Here is a 22,463-nt window from a genome sequence, read left to right on the forward strand (position 1 = left end):
CTTGGTGGGAAGATCATTTGTGATTTTGAATGTGGACAGGTTTTGTAAACACTGGCATGATGAAGGAGAAAGAAAGAGACTTTCAGCTCATGTTGAACTCTGACAATAAAAGGACCACACAATTATATGGGCCACATACTGGGCTAGGAGTTCAAATGCAATACCTCATGAACACTTGCAAGGTCCTGGTGACAGAGGATTTATTATTAATCTCCCTGTATAGACGAAGAAGCTAAAGATTATAGGATGGAAGTAGCATTCTTAAGGCACACCTAGCAGGTGATAGAAATGGGGACTGAATCCAGATGGGCTTCCTCCTTTCCTTTCACCGGGATGCTCATAATCTCCCACATTTGCTTTCCTCAGGCTTCCAAGTAGTAGCAGTGAATCGATTCTTTTCAGAGGTTTGTTTGAAAATTTTAAAGTAGAAGTCAAAGGGGAAGTCAAGGGTTGATTCAGTCAAAGTTAGATCTCAAGGCTGGATGGCACCCTGGGCCTCCTTACTTGTGGTGAAGATGGTCTGGATCATATTGCTCCTCAGGGGCCCATTGAGTGCCTGGATCTTGGCTGTGTAGTGGGTGGATGGGCTCAGGTCTGCCAGGCTGTAGGAGGTGGTATCTGGACCCACAATGACTTCCTAAGAGCAGAAGAAAAAGTATAATGGCTTTTGGTCACAGAAATTCTCAGGGTATAGATAAGAAGTCATTCTATTTATAAGTTCATTTACCCATCCATTCACTTACTTACTGGACAAGAATTCATTGAGTACCCACTCTCTACCAGGCTCCATGTGCACTGCTGAGATATCAGAGATGGGGAGAGTACAGCACAAGCAAAGGTCCTTGGGCCAGAAGGTGCAGAGCAAGTTAAAATAATATAAGGAGGGAGAGACCGCATCTGGTAAGGATGAGAGCACTGCTGTAGACTCCAGGGCTAAGGCTACCACCTGCCCAAGGCCCTGCCAAACTATATTGGGAGAATGGGATTGTAATGGTTAATTTTATGTGTTAAATTGGCTGAGCCATGGGGCCCAGATATTTGGTCAAATATTATTCTATGTTTCTGTGAAGGGGGTTTTTTTTTGGATGAGATTAATATTTAAATCAGTAAACTTTGAATAAAGCAGATTTAAAACATAAAATGAAATAATATAAGGAGGCAATAAGCGACCTCAACCATACTTAGCTTCAGGTGTTAGAACAGTGGAAAATGTTACTAGATTATGAAGGGCCTTTAAATGACAAGCTTTGAAACTTAAAGTTTATCATTAAACGGAGTGAGGAGCCCTGTAAGGTATAAATGCTAAGCTTTGGAACTTGAAGTTTATCATCACAAGAAATGGGGAGCCTTGAAAGATGTTTGGACATGCCAATGACATAAACCAAGCTGTGCTTTAAGAAGCTTAATCTGGTAGCAAGATGAATCACACAGGGTAAGGGACTTTGAGGTCAGTTAGGTCAGTGGTCCCTAAATATAGCTCTTTATCACTCTCAGAAGCTTTAAAACAATATGATGCCTGGGCCTCATCTCAGACTGATGGAATCATCAGAGCCAGAAGTTGGGCCTGGCTATATTTAAGAAACTTCCCAAGTGATTTGAATGTGCAGTCAGTTTGGGGATCTCTTGAGTTAGGAGATGATTATAATAGCCCCATAGGCATGGTAGGATTAAAACTTAAGCTGACCTCACATGTCTCTCTTCTAGAACAGAGATATCCATGACAGACAGATGTTGACCAACTCTAACTACACTTGTAGTCTGTGGCTGGTCTCTGTGCTGCTGTACAGAGGAGGTCATTGGTTTCAGTTTGCAGGAAATCCTCTTTCCACACCCTCTTGCTAGCTTCCAATTCTTTTCAGCAAATGACCTTAGTGTCTGGGATTGGAATTCAACCTACACTCCTAGTAAACCAAGCACAACGATCTTCTCTACAACCTGCAAACAGCCAGCTTAGTTTGGGCAGTCATGCATCAGTGCAGAAGCCCCTGGAAGGTTCTCCTGCATCCTGGGAACTGGGAAGGTACCTTATCCTGTTTTCTTCAATGGGAGAATTGAGTTTCAGAGAAGCTAAAAGACTTGCTCTCATTCCATAAATTGTTGGAGGCAGAGGATGATCTTGCATGCGGGTTTCCCAACACCCTGTCCAGGACTCTTTTCTCCTATACCAGGTTGATTTTTTTTCTAAGACATGTAAAGCTGGTGAATGGACATGCAGAAAAGTAAACTGGGATGAGTGCTCATTTAATACCCAGAGGCCTTTTTGCAGCCCCCCAGTTCTAGTCCCTGGGGGAAAGATCAACTGTCAGGGATAAAGCTGGGTTCATTGAATTACTTAGGAATACAATTACCTGTCAGTTCTCTAGGCTTCTGTGCAAAGCCATTTTCTAGGCAATTAGGGTACTCTAGATCAAAATGAGACTCATGATTCAGGTAAACACAGAATCCTAGAATGCCTGACAAGGAGAAGACCTTAAAGATGGATAAGTCCAAGGCATTCATTTTACAGATGGGAACACTGACACCCAGAGAAGATAAAGGATTTGCTTCAGCTCACACAGTGAGATAGTTCATTGTTATATCAATTCCAGGAAGGGGCATGATAGTTATTAGCAATGTGTCCAGTTCTGGTTAAATATGACAGATTGGATACAGCCACTCATCTCTACTTGCTTCTAAAACCCACTAAAAAGAGAGCAAGAGAATGTAAGGTATAAATCCATGAAGATGAGGGGAATGGGAGAGGAGACAGCAACAGGTGTGCCAGAAACTTGGTAGATAGAAAGTGAGTGGTAGAGAGACCATGGAGGGGAATGAATGAAGAAGGCTGAGGTTAACTAAGGAGCATGGGCAGAGCTAGTCAGAGGCTGCTTGGTGCAAGTCACAGAGTCCAGCAAGTTCAGTAAAGGAATGTGTACAAAAGCAGAGATGTCTTTAAAGGCCAATGTGGAGTGTGGTTGAACAAAGGTTTGGTTTGTTTAGAAGCTTTTTTGTAAGAAACAGACTCTAAGATCTCCTCATTCCCTCCAACAGTCTAAATGACTGCCCTTTCCCATTCAGATGGTAGGCTGAGGTTTACTCTCTGGAAAGGTTGAGCCAGAGAGGAAGTCCGGATTCAAATCCACCAGGCTCAGCCTTCAAGGAGGCCGAGGTGCTACACTGGAAACATAATAAGATGAAAGTTTGTACACAGTGAGAGGCCAGGTTTTATGGCACTGTTATTTGGGGGTCCCCCAAGAAAACTGTGGGTACTTGCCCAATCATTCTGCAGGGAGCCACAAAGTTGACAAGCCCTGCCTGAGCTAACTCCCTATTAGCTCTTTCATTCCTAGTTCAAATACAAAAAGACAGACCATGATCAACAGACATTGGGTGGATGTCTCCAACATGAAAGACAGAAACCCAAACCAAACCAAACTCAACAACAGCAGCAAAACAAAGAAACTTGTAACAAACACTGTGCAGGATATAGAATAAAATACCAGCAACATATTCTTAGAGATAAAGAGATGATGATATAGGAAGCACAAACAAAATGCCAGAAAAAGATCAATGTGTGGAGAACAAGCAAAAGATCTTGGAAATATAAAGTGAGATAACCAAAATGAAAAATTCAATAACAAGTTTGGAAGGTAAAGTTTAGGAAATCTCCTTCGCTTGTTTGAAGATCTAAAGTTATTTCAAATTAAAAGGTAAAAGAAAGAAAATTCTTGGGTAGCGAATATAAATAATATAAACACTGGATAAAAATGGTATTAACAGTTGATATCATAAGAACACGGTGAAACATATTACAATATATAATATAAAGATACCATCTGTGAGATAATACATATGGCAAACATGCAGAGAAACCTTTTGGCCTTTGTTCAACAAAATATTAAAGGATCAAGATTCCAGCTCCTAAAATGTCCTCAAGTCTTGTAAGCAGTGGTTCTTGATCTTGGCTGCCTATCAGAACTGGAGTCTGGTTAAAATGAAAGAGGCTGGAGAGTATGATTCAGAAGGTCTGGCATGCCATCCAGTCTCTACTAATTTTTTTTTTCAGCTCCCCAGATGCACTGGGGTAGAAAAACAGCATCAGGTAATTCTTCCATACTTTGAAGATCATGCAAATGCTTCAACTAGCATTGAGGAGTTGTTATATACTTAAAATACCTTGACTGTGCCATCCACTGATTCATAGACCAGCAGGTAACCGGTGACTGATGCCCGGGGGGGTCGCCAGGTAAGGAGGGCAGTTTCCGACTGAACCTCAGTAGCAGTCAAGTCTCTTGGAGAATCGAGGTCTGGAGAAGACAGGATGATTAATATCGGATAAGATCAGCAAATGTAGGGCAGAAATTCGGGCTGGGTATCAAGAAGACTGGGTTCAAGTCCTTTCCCTACCACTGAACTACGTGACCTTTGGCAAGAACTTCCTCTGTATAAATAAGGTGGTTGAGCCAGATGATCTCCAAAGACAAATTCTCTATGGTTTATCTCATCCTAAGGGCTGGATGTTTCTAACTGGCCTTGGTTGGATTTAGAGAGAAGTATACAGCTGTGAACATCATTATCAAGCCCCTTGTTTCTAAGTAAGAGGATGGATGAATGCTAATATCAATACTCACCCTGACAGAGAGGATGGTTCCTCTGTTTCCCTGCTTGCTATAGTTTGTAAAAAGCTCTCAATGTATAGAAACCTAACAAACATCTAGGAAAAATTGCCTAAAAAATATGCCTCTTCAAAAATATTTTCCTGCCTGGAACGTGGATCATTAAATACTAGGTTTAGGGCCAGTGGGAACTGTTTTTCCACTTACAAAGCCCTCCTCTTAAAATCTTTTCCTTCCCCGTGGGGAGACCAAGGTCATTTCAGTTCAAAAGGAAATAGTGTGTTTCTTCAGGCCTTGACTGAGTGGGCACTGGTGAATTTAAGTGATGCTGATGTAATCACATTGCAAGGCCCTGACTTAAGAAAGAAGAACTGGCTAGCGGTTCCTGTTTAAGATGCAGGCTGTGGGTGGGCACCCCAGAAGGGAGAGCTTCCAGCTCTCAGTGTCTTTGTACCTGTTGTGAACTTGGCAGTGATGGTTGAGCTCTTCTGGGGCCCTTTCTCTGCAAAGATTCTCAGTGTGTATTCCGTGGCAGGCTCGAGGTCGGTCAGAGCATACTCCACTGTGTTCCCGGACACCGTGCGTGTAATTTCTGGCACTAAACATGAAATACACATACCAAGGCAGTCACCTCTCACTGTCTGAGCCATGAGTGGGCTTGGCAAACCACATACACACCTCCTTCGAACATCGAAACTTTCAGTGACCCTGCGGAAAAGCAGGTCTGATTTCTGAAATGACTCACGCTCTCTTTCTCTCTCTTGAGCACTCACCTCATACGTAAAGGATTTCTCATATGGAGACTTAATTTTTCCAGGCCCCAAATCAGAAGGAAGGGGAACTGGGGGTCAGGAGATTTTTTTCCCACATGGTACTGGCTGGAATCGCTTTGCCACTGAGACCGAGGTAGAGGACGGTCGGAGGGGACATCCCCAAGCCTGCTGCCCATGCTTAATTTGTCCTGATGCATGCTCTCCTCTCTTTGTCACTTTTTCACATGCCCTTTTATAATTTACTAAGTGTCATCAAGTCATTAGGCTGAGGGGTCACAAAAACTGGACAGCAGTAGCTGCACCAGAGCCTGGCCACTATCTCTCAGGCCTGCTGGGTCATGTCCAGTGGTGGAAAGCAATACTGATCACATTGCTTGGGGGCATGTGTTTATTTCCTATTCACAGGTGACCAACCATCCTGGTTTGCCAGGGACTGCGGGATTTCCTAGGTGTGGAACTTCTGGTGCTAAAACTGAGACAGTACCAGGCAAGCGGGGACAAGTTGGTCAACTTACCTCATCATTTGTGAGCACCACCCCCTCTTCTGAACCAAGCCCCTTGTTTGCCCTGAATCTACAATCTCCATGGTTCCCATGAACTATACCTGATTCATTTTAGGTGCAACACCATCTTTCCTGACTCAGAAGAGTTTGCTCACAGGGACTATTTAAGAATTAAAGAGTAAAAAGAATAAACCCAACATCCCTCCTCCCCATCAGTTCCCCACCCCTACCTGTGCTCTGTCCTCAAAAAGACCTCTCTTAGTTGGTTACCATAACTGAATGAAAATTTTCAGAGGCTCCAGGCACAGACGCTGGTGCCTGCTCATATTGTCACTGAGAGCAAAACAATACCAAACCATAAAATATGAAACTTACCTATACCTGGAAATTGAAATTACACAATTATTTCTAGAGTAGCTCATTACAAAATGGAGGGGTTCATTGAAAAGCACTCTCTCTTTCTCCAGTCTCTTACTTATATTTGATTTTACTTTCTGGCAGCTGTAGTTTGCTGGTGCTCTAAACAAGTGTTTAATCTGTCAACTGGGTACATTAGCACTGATGGTTGCCAAACAAGAAAACATTTCTGTTTTATTTATTTATTTATTTTTTATTTTTATTTTTTTGAGACAGAGCCTCCCTCTCTCACCCAGGCTGGAGTGCAGTGGTGCGATCTCGGCTCACTGCAGCCTCCGCCTCCCAGGTTCAAGCAGCTCTCCTGCCTCAGCCTGCCGAGTAGCTGGGACTACAGGCATGCACCACTATGCCCAGCTAATTTTTGTATTTTTAGAAGAGACGAGGTTTCACCATGTTGGCCAGGCTGGTCTCAAACTCCTGGTCTCAAGTGATCCACCTGCCCTGGCCTCCCAAAGTGCTGGATTACAGATGTAAGCCACTGTACCTGGCTTAAAATTTCAGACTTTTTAATTAAATCTGCTAAAACTAGCTTCTTTTGTGGTCTCTGAAAAGTTGAGACTGCTCAGTATGGCCTGAAGCGGTCTGGTTAAGATTTTAGATTCTGGTTTTCTTCTTTGTAAAAGATGACAACTGTTTCCTAAACGGGGTGTCTCACACTGGTAGGCAGAGATACTAACAGGAGAGGAGGAATGGGCCAGGAAAACATGTAGAGGCTGGAGATGTATTTTTATTTTTATTTTAAATGACCTACCAGACTCCCTTGAGGTTTCAGTTGGGAGCCACATGAACATTACTGGCCTTTTCAACCTACCCATGCATTTTTATCATCCTGTACCAAATGTGGCAGGGAGAAGAGCGAATGGGAAGAGTTTACAGCAGGAAAGACACTCCTTAGAGTGAGGAGAGACTTGGACAAAACCTTACCTTTCTCGCCTGTGTAGGAGATGACATAACTGTCCACAGTGGCAATGGCTGGCTGCCACCTGGCCAAGGCTTCTGAGTCAGTGATGTTGGCTGTCACCAGGCCAGATGGGCCATCCAGAGCTGCAAAGAAAGATGGTGGACAGGAGGGAAGTCATTGGGTGGGACATCAGACTCTAGCTGCTCTGCTGTCCACACTGCTTATGGAGTCCTGATGTTAGGACAGTGTCAGCTGCATGGAATGGTTCAGAGACCTAAGCCTGGAGCCAGCCTGACCTGGCTTTGAGTAATGACTCCCTCCCTTGCTGGCTCAGTTACTTTGGGCCTCTATATCCTCATGTGTAAAATAGGGATAGTAATTCTGGCTGGTTTCATCTTCAGTGTTATTTTGATTTTTCCATTATATTATGGGTGGAAAGGAGCTGTGTAAACTGAACAAGGCTGAACACATGACAAGAATTATTATTGTTTATATTACTTTCCCCAGAGAAAGAACTTACACAGAGGGGACTTGCATAGTTAAGACTGCCCGAGCCTTTTCTTTTCTTTTCTCTTTTCTTTTCTTTGCTTTTTTCTTTTCTTTTTTTTGAGACAGACTGTCACTCTGTCGCCCATGCTGGAGTGCAGTGGCACGATCTCGGCTCACTGCAACCTCTGCCTCCCGGGTTCAAGCAATGATCCTGCCTCAGCCTCCCAAGTAGCTGGGATTGCAGGTGTGCACCACCAAGCCCAGCTAACTTTTGTATTTTCAGTAGAGATGGGTTTTTTCACCATGTTGGCTAGGCTGGTCTTGAACACCTGACCTCAGGTGATCCACCTTCCTTGGCCTCCCAAAGTGCTGGGATTACAGGCGTGAGTCACCGCACCTGGCCCCGAGCCTTTTCTGAGCTTTGAGTGGTATTTCTCCTTAGATGGCTTGCAGAGAACATAAAGCCAGGCTCTGGAGGCCGGTGGTCCCGGGTTCTACCATGGCTTCTCTGCCTGGTGCCTCTGTGCCCTGGGAAAATTCATTTCCCTTCTCCAAACTTCACTTTCTTCAGCTGCCAAAGGGTGACTGTTTAGTTAATAAAGACTAGCTAAGCAATGTGTGATGTGTAAGATGTACTAGGGAAAGCTCTCAATACTTGCAGTTGTTATTAAGATCTCTATTAAAGGTATTTGAAGTCTTAAGTATGGTTTTCAAATGACTTGTTCTGAGAAAGGATGGATATTCAAAGGATATTTATCCCTGGCCTCTTTTAACTGACCTCTCCTACTACCCAACATCACTTTCTCAGAAGCCAGCATGAATCTGACCATTTCCTCTTGCTTTTGCACTTACTACTCAATTGTGCCCATGCCAGCAGCCCTGGCGAGGGTGGAGGGAAGCTATCCTCAGCTCATTTCACAGAGAGGCACCTGAGCCTTGAGGGATGAAATGACTGGTCTGAGAGCCAGGATGTGGCAGGGCAACTGGGGAGCCCACATTGTCCACTCTGAGTTCCTTCCTGCTTCACTGTGCATGGACAGAATCTCCTTTAACTGGTGATGACAATGGGGCATTGGGAGGAACTACGTTCAGCTTTTGCCATCTGTTGCCGTGGAGAATCCACTGATGAAAGATTTCTTTGGGGAAATAAGGGCCTGTGAGGCAGGGTGGACGGGACTCTGGGTTCAGATGGGATATTTTAATTGTGTGTTGTCAACTCTTTCAGGCTATGAGGATATTTTTAAAATTTCCTATGAGGTCTATTCTTTGTATCCCTTAATGAGTTGGACTGGATAATTGCTCACATATCAAAGGATAAATTGTTTTGAGACATGGCTGTCTGAAGAGAAATTTTCCACTTCATTCTCCTTCAATGCAATTCATTATTTTCCCCTCTTTACAGTGTACTGTACAAATCAGGTTACACTAGGAAAGGAACTCTTTATTTTAGAAGGATAGAGAGTTTGGAGTCAGACCGACCTATGTTCAAATTTGGTTCCAGCATTTACTAATTATGTGGGCTTGGCCAAGGTATTTCATTTGTCTCAGTTGTCTCCTCTGTAAAATGGGGATGATAATAGCTGTGGGGATTAAATGTGAAGGGTTTAGTAACAGTGCCTGGAATGCAAGAGCCACCAAATAGAGAGGAGCTGTTTTGTAGCTGTCACCATCACATGCTCATGTGAAACACCTGCTTTGAGGGACACTCACAAGGGTTCCAGGCAATAGGCGGGGAGGTGAAGGTGATGGTGGGCTAACATGAACAATTGTATTTCAGGATGCTTTACAAACACAGCTTCATGTGATCCTTACCATACCCTGTGAGGGAAGCAGAATTGTGTCTGTTTTACAGAGAAGGAAAGTGGACCCTAGTAAAATGGACTGATAGCTCATGTAGTTGGTAGAATTTGGATTTAAATTCAGGTAAGTATGACTCCCAAACTTGGACTTTTTCTTTCACAATAGTCCAGGAAATGGAGGCCCAACAAGGTTAAGGTCACCCAGCTCACCAGAGGCTGGGATGGGCCAGAAGAGAGGCCTCTGGCACTCTAAATCCAGTTCACTTTCCACTAGGATCTCATAAATAAAACCCCCCTTTTTTTCCAGCTGCTGAGTCATGAGCTACAAGGCTGAAGGTGAGAAATGGCATAGGATGCACAAGTGACCTCTGAAAAATAGTAACACACACACACACACACAACCCCACCAACTCACCTGTGGTGAATGACCCTGAGACAGGTTCACTTTCCTCAAAGCCCTTCATGGCGATGATGCTGACAAGGTACTCCACGCCAGGTATGAGTTTCACCAGCCTGGTCTGAGTCTTGGTTCCGTCCACAGTTACCATGGAGGGTGTACCTGGAACACAGTAAAAGCAAGATGAGGAATAATGAACCTCACTGACACTTATTCACTGTTGCCCCCAAAAAGAGTGTATCTGATTTAGAAATGAAACTATATCTTCATCAAACACCACTTTCTTGACTTCTCATTTGCTCCTACCCTCTGGCATAAGGGAAGAAGGCTTACTTTTTGTATGCTTTTTCTATTGGTGCAGATGCCAAAAACAAAGCCAGGAGGGGCGGGGGAAAACATGAAGTCACAACGTACTAAAAATGGCAAGTTTCCGTTCAGTAGAGAGCTGGCACGTTGTGCAAATTTTATCTTATTATTTTTCCCCACAAACAATATGGGAAGCTTACTATGTAATGTATGTCAGATCTATTGCACCCATTGTCTTGGCTTAGGATTATAGACTCCCTTACTAGAGGAAATTCTACTTAAGAAAAGAAAGTTGATTATAGTCAAGTTTGTGCTGCAGTGTTTATTAATAAACACAGAAATTGTATTTCTTAGAATTTGGGGGCTAGTGAAGAACTTGCACATCAGCTGGTCAGACTTCCTATAGAGACAAAACAGCATTCCTGTGAAGAGGTTATTAACCATCCTCTCTTTATACACTTTCAGCAACAGGTAGCTTACTACCTGCCAGAGTGTCTTTAGGCAGATTTGACTGGGCTTCCTCCTTGTGGTCTCTATTATAGCCCATGCGCTTTGAGTTAGAACTCACAAATTTTCTAAGGCACAGCTTGCCATCATTTGCTGAGACAGACAGATTTGGTACCCAAAGGTAAAACTTCACATATATCCAAGACTAGCTTTTCAGATGAGTGTGCGCAGGGAGAGAAATGCCAATATATTTAGAATCTTTTGCCATTGTGTGCAAACAATACTAGAGATCTATTTCTCATAGAATTTTATAATTTCAAGGTTAAAAAAGGTCTTGTTCAAGTGACCCTTCACAAGAAAGTTTCTTCTAAGAACCTCATAGCACTTTACAAATGAGTTCTCTTCTCTCCAGATGGTCTCACAAATAAAGAATTCATTTTCTTTGATCATGATGTTAGAGGATGAAAATTATCAGGGTCTTTTTCATGAATCCATCCAAACCCACAACACTCCTCCTCTCTCTCCCCTTTCCGAGTCTCCTACCTCCTGTAATGGGCACATAGGTAATCCGGAAGCTCTCCACTTGGGCTGTGGGTGCCCTCCAGCTGACAGTAGCCGAATTTTCAGTGATGTCTGAGAAAATGACTTCCTTTGGGGAGCCCATGGCTGTCAAGAAGAAAGCACAAGAGAAGCCCAGAAACAGTTAACTGTCTTGTTCATCAATGGTTCTTCCTGAATTCCTTATTTAGGAAAACTCAGTGCCTAGAATTTGTGTCTGAGCCAAGCCTTTAGGATGGAGAATGTGGTGATCTGTGGTTAAGTTGTGACTTGCTAGGACCAATTGTTTCATTTCAGGTACAGGGCCCAGGGTTGTAGAAAAGTCATTTGGTCTAATTCAAGGGGAGTGATAGGACCATAGCTGACTTCCAAGGAATCGTGGGAGAATGGTTTCCCAGATTGGAATGTGACCCCCGTTCATTTTTGATTTTTAACATTTTCTTAAATCTTTGCTTTCTAGTTCCTTTTATTAAATAATACTAAGACTTGACAACTGTACAGTTCTTTGCAATTTATAAGGCTTAATCCTCCTGTAGAAGCCCCCAAAAAGATGTGATTATAGCCATTTTACAGAGAACCAAACCAAGGCTTCCATGAACATTCTTGTGATGTGATCTTTCTGGGTCCCAGGAGTAGGCAGCAGAGCCAAGCACAGCCTGGAATCCTGGAAATAACGTTCACACAAACACTGACCTGGGCAAACCCATTCCTAGAACTGGAAGGAGGTCCAAAGCCAAGAGAACAACCTCAGGCTCATCACCAAAGCAAACACCCAGTGGACGCTGGGTCTACCTGTGAGAAAAGCCATGCCCAGGGGGAGTTTCTGCCTCCCAAAATACCTCCCCTCAAAACCCAGTTTCCTTTGGCTTTTCTCTGTGTATTTTTTGGCTGCGATTTTTGCCCTCTTCAGCTAACCATGCCTACCCAGAGAATTCAGGAAACAATTTTCAGGCTCTAGGGAACTCACTTCCTCATCTTTTCCCCTCTCCAACCCACAGGGATTATTACATGCTGAAACCCACAGAAATTCAGCAAGGGTTTTTTTTTCTTCCTCTTTCTGCATTTTTCTCTCATCTAAGACATCTCCTCCTACAGCTTTCTTCTGTGGCCTGGTAGCCACCCCCAGACTCTGTGGCTGCCTGGGTTTTTGCCCTGCCCATGGAAAGTTTCAGAAACCACATGGGTCTCTGGAGCCTGAAAGAGCTTCATTGTCCAAATACCACTGAGAGGCTGGGTGACCTTGGGCAGGTCCCTTCACTTCTGTGAACCTCAGTTTCTCCATCTGTCCAGAGGGAAAAGTGGTACCCACCCACAGGGATGTTTTGAGGATTAGCAGAGATAACAAATGTGAAACTCCCAGCACAGCATCTGGCATGCAGTGAGAATTCAGTAAATATGATTGCCCTCTCTTTATTTTCTTTCCAATGTCCCTCTTTCCTCCATGGGCCATACTAGACTTTAAGGTGTCCCCTAGGAAAGATCGAGATGAGTCTAACTGGGAAAAAACAAACAAACAAACAAACAAAAAACAGTGAGGTGTATAAACTCAGGCACTGAGGACTTCCCTCTGCCAACCTGGTGTACTCGCACTATTGCTTTGACTGAAAACCTCATTGGTGTAGGTACATTTTAGTAGGTGTATCTTATGGCCAAACACATTAATAGCTAATATGGTTACTGTGGGTAAAGAAATTCTGCTAAATACTTGACATTCATGATCTTATGTAAACCTCGTGGCTGACCTTTGAGTTAAATTCTATTTTCCAGATGAAGGAATTGAGGTAGAGCCATGATGAAACTCCAAGGACACTGTCCCATGGTTGTTGGCTTAACCACCAGGCAACACTGTCTCCCACTGCCCTTTCTACTGCCCTGGGCACCCAGGGCTGGCAGCTTGTGCTATGGAGAGGTACCTTGTGAGTGAGAGGAGGAGCTACAGCAGGGCCTTCTCAGGAGGAAGAGGGATAGGACATTACAGAGAAGAGTTTACAATGGTATGAGGGAGGAAGAGAGGAGAGGAGAAAGGATTAAAAAAAAAAAACAAAAGGGGAAATTTATAAACTTGATGAGGTGAAGATAGAAATTAGGCATCTTCTGTGCTCAAGAGCCCCCTTTCCTGTCTTCTCCTGGTCCTGGAGCACAGGCATGTAGACACACACACACACACACACACACACACACACAAGCACGCACGCGCATGGGCACCTCTCTTTGGCTATAAGCTACTAGGCTCTAGAGAAGAAAATCAAAGAGAGGGCTTTCCAAAAGAGCAGGGTCTGCCTTGCCTTTTTTTTTTGTTGTTCTTAAAAAAAATTCAATTCATGATTATTCATTCTCTTTTTTGCTTTAGAACTGCAGGGCTTCTAGAAAAAAAAGATCAGCAAAACAAATCAATGATCAGAAGAAGTAAACTTCGAAGAACACTGTTTATAAACCAAGATCAAAATCAAGGCTCTGCCTCTGATCTGGAGTCGTTTTATGGGCAGCCACAGGGAGGAGGAGACTGAGACCTGCATCCCAGGATAGGGTGTCCCTGTTAATAAGAAACAGGGTTTTTCCCTCTTACTAGGTTGCTGCCTGGATTCTAGCATTTTCTCCAAGCCTACAAATACTGATTATTATTTTTACATGGGTGATTTCTTGCCACTTATTAGGTCCTGAAAACTTAACAATATAAAATATCTATCTTTAGACAAAAAGGAGAGGTTTTGGCAAATGTCATGCCTATGCCTGTCAGAGATGGCAAGTAGCTATATGCATTGGTTTTCTCTCATCCAGACTGCTCATTTTAAATAGTATTAGAATAAGCTGGTCATTGGGCTTTACTCCAAATCTAGCTCTATGATCATAGAAAAATCATTTCACCATTCTGGTCCTCAGAGTCTTCATGCACAAACAGAAGAGGTTGAGCTACATCATCTCTCAGGTCCCTTTTATCTCTCCTGGTGATTTTGTGGTTCTGTCCCCTGGTTCCCTTTGAAGCAGCCATCTCCAGCGAATGCTATGTCTCTGCATCTCCCTCAGTTTCATGAAATAATTTACTTGACTTGTTGGAGGTTTTTCCTTTTCTCTTTAAAAAGTCATGTTCATCTTAGTATTATTATTATTACAAAGAGTCATATTATTACTACTGTTATTATTATCATTATTTGAGACAGAGTCTTGCTCTGTCGTCCAGGTGGGAATGCAGTGGCACGAACACAGCTCACCACAGCCTTAACCTCCTGGGCTCAAGAGATCTTCCTGCCTCAGCCTGCAGAGTAGCTGGTACTACGGGCATGAGGCACCACACCTGGCTAAGTTTTTGATTTTTTTTTTTTTTTTTTTTTGCACAGGTAGGGTCTTACTATGTTGCCTAGGCTGGTCTCAAACTCCTGGACTCAAGTGATCCTCCTGTCTCAGCCTCCTGAAATGCTGGGATTACAGGTGTGAGCCATCACTCTGGGCCTAAGAGTCATATTATTAACCATCTTTTTTTTTTTTCTCCTTGAAACAGCTCCTATGGAAAAAGGTAATTAAACTCCAAGGACACTCTAGGTGCCTTTCAGAGTTGTTATGAGTATCAAAGTTAGAGAGCTTCATAAACAGTAGCATGTTAATCTTGCCAGCTCTCTCCTTTATCCTTGCTGATCACCGTACTGATTATTCACATGTAGCATTTTATAAATATTAATGTGTATAGATAGACGTGCTGCTTCTCCATTATCTCCCTACTTGGTATAGCTCGAACATTTGGCCAAAGAACAAGGAAGTGTATCTCTGGATAAAATGATGAGATATGATATGATGAGATGAGATATGATGAGATAATAGATAGAAGGAAGAATCTTTGGAACGTAAAAAAAAAAAGATGATAATTGTAACGATGATGATGCATTAATGGCAACGTGAATAGCTCTCATTTGCTGGGCCCTTGCTACCTGCCAGGCCTTCCGCTATGGGCTTTATATGAATTATCTCATTTAATCCTCACAACCCTATTAAGTAAATGGCATCATACTTTTTTTGCATAAGGACTTAGCCAAATTGTCCAAGGTAACACAGTCTGTAATTGAAAGAGTCAGGATCAGAGCGCCAGCCTGCCTGCATCCAAAGCTCCTGTGATTACTCAGCCCTGTGAGAAGAAGACCCCTGAGTCATGACTTTTCTCTGTTCTCTCCTGTTTATTTACAGTACCTGTTGTTGCTATAGCACTGACTGTCTGGGATCGCCTTCCTTTGCTTATTCCATAGAGTTCAATTTCGTATTCAGTAGCCTCTCTGAGACCTGTTATGTCCCTGGTACGTTCGGGGGCAAGTAGGGTTATTTCCAGTGGCTCAGACTGCTTTTTGGTATCTCTGATTTTGAGAACAAAATTGTCGAAGACCCCTTCATCAGCTGTCCAGGACAGACGGAAACCGTCTGGGGTGGCATCTGAAACCAGAAGGTTGTCAACTTCCGGTTCGGCTTCTAGAGGGAGAGAAAATGGTGGGAGAAGGAGGAAAGACAACATCATTTACCAGTCCGTGCAATCTTCTCTCCAGTAGGGGTATCAATATGTAGTGATGCCCCGGCTTTCAGAGATAGAAGTGTCCTGAGATACCAAAAATAAAATCATTCAACATTAACAAGTCCAGTAGAGTCAGGAGAGGGGAAAGATGGAGTAGACACATTCAATACAAGTCAAGCATATGTTTGCATATGTGAGTTTTGTCTAAAAGCAATTCAGTAAATCCACATCTGGACTCAGCATTGGCCCGTCCCACATATTATTAAATAAGTTCAAAGCCAGTAAATTGTTTACATTTGCTCTCTGTCTTCCAGTGGCTGAGTGCCCATCCCCTGCAAGACCTTTTTCTTTTCTTTTTGAAAAGACAAATAAACCAGCATTAATGATCTGTAGAGCTGCTCATGATGATACTGCTGATTACATTCTCCTTGAGCCTGCCCAAAATGGCTTTTAAAATGTTATGGTCTTTTTGCTTTGTTCTTAGTGCTGTTTCACTAAAGAAGGCTCCTACCCTTGACTTTTTTTTTTTTTTTTTGCATTCTTTCTTGTTATTTTATTAACTATTAGATAAATGTTCAGATGGTAGAACTGAGGTTGGAACCTTTTGTGCTACATACTGTGGACCCAGGGTTTCATCTTGCATTGCCTTAACTAGACAAAACTCAATGTCAATGTAGATTTAGAGCTGAGTTTCCCAAAGTGTGCTCACAGTGAACTATTCCTGTTTGATCCTCTTCCTTAAAAAGTATCCTTTGTCAAATAAGTTTGGAAAATACTGCCTGGATAAGTACTTCTTGGAGATGATGCACGTTAGGGTGTTCTGAAAAGCCGTGCAGTTAAAGATCCTCTTTAACTTTGTTTAACTCAGTCTTTCCAAACTTATTTGAACGTGGAATTTCCTCACCGAGTAGGACCTTTGAACATTCTGTGGAGCTAGTAATCTCTAGAAAGACTTTGGGAAACACAGATGTTTGACTATTCCGTTGTTAATTTCTGTAGGAATCATTAGTCTTGAGAAAATTATGGATTTAGTCCGTGTTGCAGAGTCTCTCTGATATTAGTGATTACCGATAAAATAAGTTCACATTTGGTTTTCCAATGACGAGCCCACTGGGTAAGTTTGTTAAGATCATGGTTGAGATTTTGAGATGGCAAAAGTTTTAAATACGTTTTGGAAATATACTCATTGGTATATTTCTTTTGAGAAGGCTGAAATGTAGCTGGGGACCAGCCAGGTTGATCACAAGGGACGATGATATGAGGTAAGCACACAAGAGCTATGGACAAGACAAGGTCTAAAGGATTTTGAATACAAAGCAGAAATATTTCGACCTTCTCATTTCTGGGGTGGGAGTGGGGAGTGTTCATTAAGTACATATGACAAGAGGGAGTGTGGGGAGAAGGTGAAACAGTAGACTACATTTATGGATTAAGTAGGGAATGTGAACAAAGATGTTAAAGTCATGGCGATCCGGTAGACAGATTACACAGAAGGGGACCAGGAAGAGGAACAAATGGCTCACTTGATTTGAAATACCTGTAACAATCTCAGCCCTCAAGGGCTTGGTTTGATGCCCTTGGGTGAAGCCAGAGACCATAACCTCATAGCCAATGCCAGTTATGAGGCCTCTAAGCTCCAGCTTCCTCTGGGTTCCTGAAAGTGTGAATTCCTGGGGGTCCAGCAGCTTCCCAGAATCCACCACCGTTACTAGAAAGCTGTCAAAGGCATTCTCCGATGCCATCCAGGAAACTGTGAACCCGTAGGGATTAATGTCGGAAATGGTTAGGTTTTCCAGAAGGGGCAGGGCCTCTGAAAGAAGGGAGGAGTGAAAATAACTCAGGTTAGCAGCACTGACTCTGTCAGGATAGCACACGTTTCCAAGAACACCAATAGATACCCAAGTCCATCATTCAATTTGTGTTATATGCTTAGAAAATGAAAATTCAGTAAGAACTTATTGGGTGCCAGATAGTGTTATCTTGTGCAATTCTCTTAATAGCCCATGAGGTAGGTATTATTCTAATTTCACACGTGAGCAAACTGAGTTTCAAAGAAGTTGATTGACTTAGCTAAAGTTACAAGCTTGTAAGAAGAGATAGAGCGAAGATTTTAGTCAGGTTTGACTCCAAAGGCCATGTAGTTCTTTATACAAATAGGTTGCATTTTGTTGAGTTTGGATCCCGTTGTCTACTTCCCACTGCCTTCAGCTCTTTTTTTTTTTTTCGAGTATAATTTCTTTCCGGTATACTTCATGTGTTTCTATCCCACTTCTAGTGCACAGTTTGAATCAAATTAATGAAGTCAATTAGTGAGATATCCTCACAAGCTGAAATAAAGGGAGGAGGTAAGTTTTTTTTGTGTCAAAATTAATAGCTCATGGTTATAACCCACTAAGAAATGATAAGATTTGCTAAATCTTTTGCTGTTTATTTTCCTGGATAAAGTTAGAAAACAAGAACACATCTGGGTCTTAGTAAATTCTGTCACCATCTCTCCTTCATTCGTTCACCAAACATGTATGTCCCAGGCATTCTGATTTCTCAGGTGCTAAAGGGCCTTTTCACACATTGGGATATCCAAAAGGAGTGAGCTTATGTTGGCTAAGTTTCCATTGATACTTGCCAACTGACAAGGCTTCACATTGTTATCCTAGTTAGTCTTCAAAATGATACAGTAAGGTAGATATTGCTACCTGCCTTCCAACCCCGATCACATCTAAAAAAACCAGAGAGGTTAATGACTTATCCTAGGTCATACATCTGCTAGGTGCCTAAGCTGAGATACAATCAGGTCTTCCGACTCCAAGTTCTATGTTCTTTCCATACCCAAAGCCAACCCCAATCAGTGATGGCAATCCTGAGGGATAAGGAGGATTAGTGGAGAAGGTTCAGCGTCTCTTTTCTAGGTGTTTTTTCTTTTTTCTTTTTTTTTTTCTGACAGTACTGGTAAATGCATTTTTTTTTTTAATCAGAAGAAAAAAAGGAGACAGGAATTTCAAATTAGCTGCATCTAGTTTAGACACTTCTTTTCCATTACAGCTAAATGGAAACTTACAAAGAGATAAATGCTCTTGCATTAATTCACTAATGCCTAGGGTCTAATCCATGAGACATAAAGAAAAATGTTTTAAAAAGAAGTGTTTGGTGACTGAATGAATAAGGGAATGAATACCTTCATTTTGTAAATAGAGATTTAAATTTTGCTGTGGCTTGGACTTCCTGTAGTTATTTTGAAACACTTGGTGTTTATTCTGAGGCAGTTTTTTCCACGTAAAGATTTCCCAAGAATCATAATTCTATCAAAAGCGAGGATGAAATCTCTTATACTGGGCAAACAATCTTCATCTGAGAGACAAGGGTCTCGAATTCTGTTCCTGGATTTTGTTTAGATAAGTGGCATCTCTCTTTGATAGCTGGCCTCTTTGCACCTCCACACCATCAAAGCAGTGAATTCCAATGAAAGTGAGGGCATTCAGGCTAATTAGGCAATCAAGGGCTTGTTATTTAAGAGTCCCTCCTGTTTTGTTTTTTTCTTTTTTAATATGCTTCTTTTAAAACGCAATCTTTTCACATCATGGATTAGCTGAGACAATGCTGTAACTGGATCTAGGATTCCCAAGACTGGGTCTCTCAGCTTCCTTTTCTTCTGTTATGTGGGAGGTCCTGCAAGCCGCTACAAGCAATGGCCTGATGGGATCTGTGGCCATTTCTCCCCTCCTGAGGAGTGAGAATCTCATCTCGTTCCTCCTTGTCTCAGTCCCTTAAGAAATTACCATGTTCTGCATTTGAAGACTCATCTGAATGATTTAATTCACATTAGGTAACTGGATAGGAAAAAATACTCATTTTTTAATCTTACATTAAAACACATCCAAAGTTCTCTTAAAAACGAGAGGGAGTTCATGATTGCATAGGTCTATTGTTCTATCTAGCCTTATTGGTTATTTTTAAGAAAGCCACTTTCCTAATAATGTTGGGAGACAGCAGAAAGAACCTAGCATGTATAAAATTCCTACTGGATGCTAGGCAGTTAAATTTCACCAACTCTATTTAATCTATGAGACAAGGCTCCCAGAAGTGCCTGTGGTATCCTCTCTCCATGCATAAGGAAATTAGGGTTCAAACAAGTTAAGAACTTGCTAAAATTATGTAGCTAAAAAGCTGTGGGAGAGGTTTAGAAACCACAAAAGCTTGATCTCAAAATCCTCACTCTTCCAGGACACCATGCTGCCTATAATTAAATATTTAATTGTACTAATTGACATGTCTTAGTGATGGCAATTTAGACCCTGGGAGAGACCTGGTTTAATGTGAAAATCAGATGGCAAAGTCCGTCTTCTGAAAATTATCACTAATGAAAAGGAAGAGACTTCTAAATATTTTCTGAGGCTTTTTGGGCTAGAATTTAGTAAACTGACACCATGTGCAGCCTTTGCCATTGAAGTTTTTGCTGCCACCATTTGGCAGCATTTGCCAAATTGAACATTGGCAAATGTTCAAGAAGTCAAGTTGAGTGAATGGGTAGGGCTTAATTAAACTTGAAATTTATCTGCCATCTGAGGTTGAACCTTCATCAATCTTCCAACCCCGATCACATCTAAAAAAACCAGAGAAGTTAATGACTTATCCTAGGTCATACATCTGCTAGGTGCCTAAGCTGAGATATACAACCAGGTCTTCCGACTCCAAGTTCTACGTTCTTTCCATACCCAAAGCCAACCCCAATCAGTGATGGCAATCCTGAGGGATAAGGAGGATTAGTGGAGAAGGTTCAGCGTCTCTTTTCTAGGTGATTTTTCTTTTTTCTTTTTTTTCTTTTTTTTTTTTTTCTGACAGTACTGGTAAATGCATTTTTTTTTTAATCAAAAGAAAAAAAGGAGACAGGAATTTCAAATTAGCTGCATCTAGCTGCATCTGTGTTGTCAGTTTTAAGAATAATTATTTTTTAAAGAAAAAGATGGTTATACTTTTGTCACATATATGAACTGCGTTACCTAGCATGATTTATGAACAGGATTTCGATCTTAGGCCTTTACTAACTTAGGAGTCACTTTTTAGGCAGAATCTCTAAACTAGGGATAAAACAGCCAATAAAACTGGGCACAAAAAACCCTAAAAGCTTTATACAACTCTTGAGAACGTTCTCTCCACTTCCTAAGAGCAGCTGTGAAAGTCCTCTCCTTTATAATAGTATCTGCTTTCTCTTTACTTAGAAGTTTACATATATTATCTTGGCTATCATGAGTAATGTATTGTAACCTGTGTCTGTCAATGGATGAATGGATAAAGAAAATGTGGTGTATAGATAGATCATATTTATATATAAATATATACATTCCATATGTGTGTATATATACATATATATATATATACACATATATATATAATGGAATACTTTATAGCCTTAAAAAAGAGGAAAATTCTGTCATTTTCAACAACACGGATGAACCCAGAAGACATTGTACAGAGTGAAATAATCGAGGCACAGAAAGACAAATACTGCGTGATCTCATTTGTGTAATCTAAGAAAGCTGAACACATAGAAGCACAGAGAAGACTGGTGGTTACCGGTGACTGGGGTTGGGGAGATGAAGAAAGGGGAGATGTTGGTCAAGGAGTACAAAGTTCAGTTAGACAGAAGGAATAAGTTTTAGTGATCTACTGCACAGCATGGTGACTGGCCATAGTTAATAATAACATATTGAATACTTCAAAATTCCTAAAAGAGTAGATTTTAAATGTTCTCACAGCACAATAAATAAATAAATAAATAAATAAATAAATAAATAAGGTGAGGTGATTGATATGTTAATTAGGTTGATTCAATCAATCCACAATGTATATGTATATCAAAACAACACACTATTCTCCATAAATATATACAATTACTATTTGTCAATTAAAAATAAGAGAGTACACATTTGCAGTGAAGATTGTATTTTTGTTGAATTTTCCTTTAAGATGACTTATCTCCTTTTCTCTCTGTGTTAGACAAGTGAGAACCTCTGATTGAGTACCTGTAATGACAAAGGCAGTGAGGGGTCTGGTGGGATCCCCAGCCAAGGTGGTTCCTGCCACACTGACGTCATAGCCAGTGTTCTCCACCAAGCCTGTGATGTGAGCTTGCTTTGCATCTCCTGAGACTGTGAATTGCTGGGACTCATGCAGTGAGTGAGCGTCACTCACATTGATAACAATCTTTGCAAAAAGCCCAGCTTGAGTGGTCCATGACATGTTGAAGCTTTTTGGAGTAATATTGCTAAAGATTAGCGTGCCCAACTGTGGCTTTGGTTCTAAAGAAGGAATATGGGCAGAGAGAAAGAGAGAGACATTATTAGAGGAAGCAGTGGATTTTTCCAGAATGTAGCCATAGAACATGAAAGCATCAATATCTCCAAATACATACAGAAGAGACAGTATGTTAGGCTGTGTCTACACCTGCATTGAATATGATGATAGAAAATATATTGCTTTCTCTGCAGGTGTATATTTGTGTTCTTTATTTTTATTTTATTTTTTAGATCTGTGTTCTTTTAAAGCATAAACACCACCATTTGCTAGTCATGTATGAAGAAGAGTAGACAAGCCATTAGAGTGGTAGATTGGAGTAACGTGAAGGGTATTAAGGCTACATTTTCTAAAGTTTGTACTGGGGACACAAGCCCTGTAAGATGTTCCAAGAAAAGACAGCTTTATGATTAAGTATGCATGGTAAACACCGAATATTATGTCTTACCATAGAGATTCACAAGGTGGGTTTGCATTTTAAAGGCTCTGACAGGCTGGTTC

General features: G+C 41.6%; 1 protein-coding gene across 42 annotated transcripts in view, besides 2 other annotated features; it reads right to left on the reverse strand.

Moving 5' to 3' along the window:
- The window catches only part of TNC (tenascin C), a 98,583-nt gene that overhangs the window by 11,474 nt on the left and 64,646 nt on the right, over positions 1–22,463 (reverse strand). For 15 of the 42 annotated variants that reach the window (NM_001439099.1, NM_001439098.1, NM_001439097.1 and 12 more), the window contains 6 exons: positions 11,171–11,293; positions 9,893–10,036; positions 7,213–7,332; positions 5,050–5,193; positions 4,156–4,286; positions 505–637 (listed from right to left, as the gene is read on the reverse strand). In NM_001439099.1, the coding sequence (NP_001426028.1) occupies positions 505–637; positions 4,156–4,286; positions 5,050–5,193; positions 7,213–7,332; positions 9,893–10,036; positions 11,171–11,293 (795 nt within the window). Of the gene's footprint in view, positions 1–504; positions 638–4,155; positions 4,287–5,049; positions 5,194–7,212; positions 7,333–9,892; positions 10,037–11,170; positions 11,294–15,361; positions 15,635–17,211; positions 17,485–21,691; positions 21,968–22,463 lie in introns of all 42 variants that reach the window. The other 27 variants (XM_011518626.4, XM_017014681.3, NM_001439072.1 and 24 more) reach the window with 3 other exon arrangements.
- Positions 4,338–5,537: an enhancer, noted in NCBI's record as "CDK7 strongly-dependent group 2 enhancer chr9:117797665-117798864 (GRCh37/hg19 assembly coordinates)". NCBI's record gives its function as "activates an origin of replication core promoter dependent on BRD2, BRD4, P300/CBP, MED14 and CDK7 cofactors, with strong dependence on CDK7, by STARR-seq in HCT116 cells {active_cell/tissue: HCT116}" and the evidence as "EXISTENCE:reporter gene assay evidence [ECO:0000049][PMID:35650434]".
- Positions 12,385–12,444: an enhancer, noted in NCBI's record as "active region_28882". NCBI's record gives its function as "activates an Ori minimal core promoter by ATAC-STARR-seq in GM12878 lymphoblastoid cells {active_cell/tissue: GM12878}" and the evidence as "EXISTENCE:reporter gene assay evidence [ECO:0000049][PMID:35858748]".

This window comes from Homo sapiens, chromosome 9 (assembly GCF_000001405.40).
Source record: "Homo sapiens chromosome 9, GRCh38.p14 Primary Assembly".
NCBI classification, from domain to species: Eukaryota; Metazoa; Chordata; class Mammalia; order Primates; family Hominidae; genus Homo; species Homo sapiens.